The following is a 5,903-nucleotide window of genomic DNA, read 5'->3' on the forward strand; positions in this document are numbered from 1 at the left end:
GGCATTCCCAGACCCATGACTAAGAGTAAGACACCATTTTCAATCTGGGTGCATACAAAGTCAGCCAATTGCCAGGTACCCAGCAGCATGGTCATGCAGGCATCATTGTCTTGGGCCAGATATTGGAGCACTCGCTCTGGAGTGAGGTAGGGGCCTCCACAGCTAGAATTGTGAAAAGCACCTCAGTAGTAGGCACTTCAGTTGTGCTCTCTGTCATCACAGGCCTGGGTGGGAGGAGAGCTGCTACAGCTGCAGTTTCTCCTAGGTGACGAGACAGGCAGCCAGGGCCAGTTTGATGACCTGGAACCAGTCTGTGTGTGTCATTGCTGGGTGCCTCAGCCTGCTCCTCTGAGATCAGGAAACAGTGAAACTTTCTCTGCTACACCCCTAGACAGAACTCCAGGTATTTGGAGCACACATTTGCCTGGACTAGCAGCCTGAGCTACCCATCCTTCCTGGGCATACATTGAGGTGCAGCAGGGCCCTCTCTGCTTCACTCCCAGGTATATCTCCAGGTATTTGGATGACCTGCTTACCCAAATCAGCAGTCAGACCCACCCAACCCTCCCTGTACAGAAATCCTGGTGCAAGTTGGCTCTCTCTGCTTCAAGTCTAGGCAGAGATCCAGGCATATGGAGCTCCTGCTTGCCTGGTTCAGCAGCCTGAGTCACCCCAACTTTCCTTGGCAGAGATACTGGCTCAGAGGGGATCACTGTACTCCATACCTAAGCAGATCTCCAGGCATTTGGAGCACCTATTTACATGAACTGGTAGTGTGAGCTGCCTCAACCTTCCTGCACAGAGATTGTGGTGGAGCAGGGTCTTCTCCACTCTATGCCCAGTAGTCAGAACACTCACATACCTGGATCTGCAGTGTGAGCTTCCCCATGATTCCTATGCAGAAATGGTGGTGAAGTGGGGCCATCTTTGCTCCACACCTAGTCATATCTCCAGGCATTCAGGCATTCAGAGCAACAGGTCCTCTGAATTACTGGCCTGAGCTGCCCACCCTTCCTGTGCAGAGATTGTGGTGTAGTGGGGCCCTTTGCACTCCAAGTCCAGGCAGATCTCCAAACACTTGCTGCACTAACTCTCCTGGGTTAGGAATTTAGGCTGGCCCTCATGCCAGTGCAGAGAACTGGCGGCTAAGGGGGTTTCTCAGCTCCATGCTTAGGCACACCTCTGGGTACTTGGTGGATACCCATTGAATTCTTGCTTAGCACTAGTGCTTGTGGCTGCCTCAGGGAACCAGTAGGAGGGTCTGCTGGGTCTGGGCCTGCCCATCTTGATTTGTCACCTTGGGGCTCATTAGGAAGCTCAGACCACTGTGCACTCCACAGATCAGACCACTACCTGAGGCAACAGAGAGCTTTTCTCAGGAAACAAGGATCAAGTATATATCCATCCACATTGGCTTCACTTGGCTCTTACTTATAATCACCATCTATTGACCTGTAGGTCAAAATAAACAGCCCAATATAAACCTGCTGACCAGGGTGCACAGGACTATAGAAGCAAAGCTAAATGATTCTGCTCAACATTCTCTACAGTCACAACCCCTAGGGTGGGGGAAAGGGAATAAAAACAACTCAATATGGTAAGAAAAGAGAAACAGAAAAAAAACCTATGAAAATAATTACAAAAATTAGAAGTGCCAGTATCTCCAGATGAGAAGAGCTGGCAGAATAATTCTGGTATCACAAGAAATCTGAATGTCATGACACCAACAAAGGATCACACTAGCTCTGTAGCAATGGTGAATAATAAAAATGGAAACTCAGAAATGACAGGTAAAGAATTCAAAGCATGAATTGGAAGGAAGCTCAATGAGACCCAGGAGAAAGTTGGAAATCAACACAAGGAAACTTCTACAGCAGCTCAGAAAATGAAAGAGAAAATAAACATCTTAAAAATAAATCAGAGCTTCTGGAATACAAAAAACTCACTTAAGGAATTTCAAAATACAATCAAAAGCTTTCCCAATAGACAAGACCAGGAAAAATAAGACCTAGAAGAATTAGAAAAACCAGAACAAACTAACTCAAACTAACTACAAAGCTAGTGGAAGAAAATGAATAACTAAAATTAGAGCAGACCTAAACAAAATTGACACTCCAAAATGCATACTAAGAATCAATGAAACCAAGAGTTGATTGTTTGAAAGGCTAAACAAAATTGATAGACTGCTAGCTAGATTAACAAAGAAAAAAAAAGATCAAAATGAGCATAATCCAAAATGACAAAGATGACATTACAACCAATCCCACAGAAATACAAAAGAGACTAGTATAAATACCCCTATGCACACACACTAGAAAATCTAAAGGAAATGGATAAGTAATTGGAAACACACAACCTCTGAGGACTGAATCAAGAAAAAATGGAAACACTGAACAGATCAATATTAAGTTCTGAAATTGAATCAGTCATAAAAAACCCTACCAATAAAAAAAAAAAAAAACACAACCCTGGACCAGATAGACATACAGCTGAATTCTACCAGATCTACAGAGATGAGCTGGTACTAACCCTACTGAAACTATTCAAAAAATCAAGGAGGGACTCCTCTCTAAATGCATTCTATGAAGTTTGTGTCACTCTGATACCAAAACCTGGCAAAGACACAACAACAAACTACAGGTCAGTATCCTTGATGAACACTGATGCAAAAATTCTCAACAAAACATTAACAAATTGAATTCATCACTACAGCAAAAAGATTATGATCAAATAGGCTATATCCCTGGGATGCAAGTTGGCTTAACATAAGCAAATCAATAAATGTGACTCCCCACATGAACAGAATTAAAAACGAAAACCATATGATCATCTCAATAGATGCAGACAGCTTTTGATAAAATTCAACATGCCTTCATGATAAAAATACTCAACAAACTAGGCATCAAAGGGATGTAACTCAAAATAATAAGCTCTATCTATGACAAATCCACAGCCTACAGGATACTGAATGGGAAAAAGCTGGAGGCCTTCCCCTTAAGAACTGGAACAAGACAAGGATACCCACTCTCACTACTCATATTCAAAATAGTATTGGAAGTCCTAGCCAGAGCAATGAGACAAGAAAAATAAAAGACATCCAAATAGGGAAAAAAATCAAATTATATCTCTTCACTGACAATATGATTCTATGTACAGAAATCACTAAAACCTTCACCAAATGCCTCTGGAACTGATAAATGACTTTGCTAATGTTTCAAGATATAAAATCAATGTACAAAAATAAGTAGCATTTCTATACACAAATAACATTCGCGCTGAGAGTGAAATCAAGAACAAAATCCCATTTACAGTAGCTAAAAAAAAAAAAAAAACCACCCAGGAATACCCCTAACCAGGGAGGTGAAAGATCTTTACAAGGATAATTATAAAACACTACTTACATAAATCAGAGATTACAGAAATAGAAAAGCATTCCATTCCCATGGATTTAAAGAATCAATATCATTTAAATGGCTATACTGCCCAAAGCAATCTGCAGATTCAGTGTTATTCCTATCAAACTACCAATGTCATTTTTCATAGAATTAGAAAAGTTTATTCTAAAATTCCTGTGGAACCATAAAAGAGCCTGAATAGCCAAAGCAATCTTAAGCACAAAGAACAAACCTGGAGGCATCACATTACCAAACTTCAAACTATATTTTAAGGCTATAGTAACCAAAAACACATGGTGCTGGCACAAAAACAGACACATAGACCAGTGGAACATAATAGATAACCCAGAAATAAAGCCACATACTTACAGCTATTAGATCTTCAACAAAGTCGACAAAAATAAGCAATGGGGGAAGGACTCTCTATTCAATAAATGGTGCTGGGATAGTTGTCTAGCCATATGCAGAAGAATGAAACTGGACCCCTATCCTTCACTATATATAAAATTAATTCAAGATGGTTTAAATATTTAAGTATAAGATCTCAAACTATAAGAATCCTAGAAGAAAACTGGGAAATACCATTCTGGACATTGGTTTTGGCAAAGAGTTTATGATTAAGTTCTCGAAAGCAACTGCAACAAAAACAAAAACTGACAAGTGGGACCTAATTAAACTCAGCAAAATAAATTGTCAACAGAGTAAACCGCCCACAGAATGGTCAAAAATATTTGCAAATTATGCATCCAATAAAGATCTAATATCCAGAGTCTGTAAACAACTCAACAAGCAAAAACAACAACAACAACAACAAAAAACCCATTAAAAAGAAGGCAAACCATCAGTGGTAGACTGGATAAAGAAAATGTGGTACATATATACCACGGAATACTATGCGACATAAAAAAGAATGAGATAATATCCTTTACAGTAACATGGATAGAACTGGAGACCATTATCCTAAGCAAACTAATCTAAGAACAGAAAACCAAATACCGTATATTCTCACTTATAAGCGAGAGCTAAACAATGAGAACACAGGGACACAAAGAGGGAAGTAACAAACACTGGAGCCTACCTTAAGGTGGAAGGTGGGAGGAGGGAGAGGATAAAAAAATACTTATACTATACTTATTATCTGGGGGGCTGAATAATCTGTACACCAATCTCTGCAACACACAGTTTACCTATATAACAATCCTGCACATGTACCTCTAAACCTAAAATAAAAGTTAAAAAAAGTGGGCAAAGGACAGGAACAGATACTTTTCAAAAGAATATGTACAAGCAGCCAACAAACATATGAAAAACATGCCCCACATCACTAATCCTGAGAGAAATGCAAATCAAAACCACAATGAGATACCATCTCATACCAATCAGAATGGCTTTTATTAAAAAGTCATGGCCGAGCGTGGTGGCTCACGCCTGTAATCCCAGCACCTTGGGAGGCTGAAGCAAGCGAATCACCTGAGGTCAAGAGTTCGAGACCAGCCTGGCCAACAAGGTGAAACCCCATCTCTACTAAAAATACAAAAATTAGCCAGGTGTGGTGGCACATGCCTGTAGTCCCAGCTACTTGGGAGGCTGAGGCAGGAGAATCGCTTGAACCTAGAAGGTTGCAGTGAGCCCAGATCGCACCTTTTCACTCCAGCCTGGGCAACACAGCAAGACTGTCTCAAAAAAAAAACAAAAAAAAAAACAAAAAAAAACAAAATAAACCCAAAAAGTCAAAAAACAACAAATACAAGGGAACACTTATACACCGTTGGTGGGAATGTAAATTGGTTCAGCCACGGTGTAAAGCAGTTTGGAGATTTCTCACAGAACTTAAAACAGATAAGATAATATTTGGCTAACAATATCTTTTGTAGTCTCTCTCAATTTCCCTTTAAAATACTTACAAGACACAGGAAAGACAGAAACACAAAGCAACGCCAGACTAGATGGATATAGCTTATACAATCTGCATTAAACATCTATAATCATAACATAAATAGTACTGAAGTTAGGGTCTCCCTGTACTCTCTCTTCCTCATAACCAAAAAAGGAGAAAGTACATCCTCCTTTTGGAAAAGAAGATAGTTCATGTTCATCGATCCAAGTGTCATCAAACAGAAAATTAGATAGGTATCTTTTACTGTGAGACATATTCTCTCTAATCAGTGGTGTGAGAACTGTATTTACCCTTATATTTCAACACATATTCCAAACAGAAGAAGAATCAAAGACATAGTTGCTTATTTGATGAGTTGATCAACTGGGAATCTATTGATCCTCCTCATCATTGTTTCTCAACCCCCTCATGTTTTCACTTCTCCCCTTACCTACCTTAAATTACATCATCAATCTTTATAATTGCTCATTTGTCCTTTTGTTCTATTTTATTGTCTGGAAAACCTCCAACCTTGATTAAACGTACTGACACGAAACCTGTCTTGTGCACCTGAAAGTTGATGGAGAAAATCACTCAACTAGACTGACATGAGTTAGCTTAAATTCCTCCCA

At 39.8% G+C, this 5,903-nt stretch overlaps 1 annotated feature.

Annotated features, from left to right (window-relative positions):
* Window positions 241-310: a silencer, noted in NCBI's record as "silent region_14136". NCBI's record gives its function as "represses an Ori minimal core promoter by ATAC-STARR-seq in GM12878 lymphoblastoid cells {active_cell/tissue: GM12878}" and the evidence as "EXISTENCE:reporter gene assay evidence [ECO:0000049][PMID:35858748]".

This window comes from Homo sapiens, chromosome 3 (genome assembly GCF_000001405.40).
Source record: "Homo sapiens chromosome 3, GRCh38.p14 Primary Assembly".
Lineage (NCBI taxonomy): Eukaryota > Metazoa > Chordata > Mammalia > Primates > Hominidae > Homo > Homo sapiens.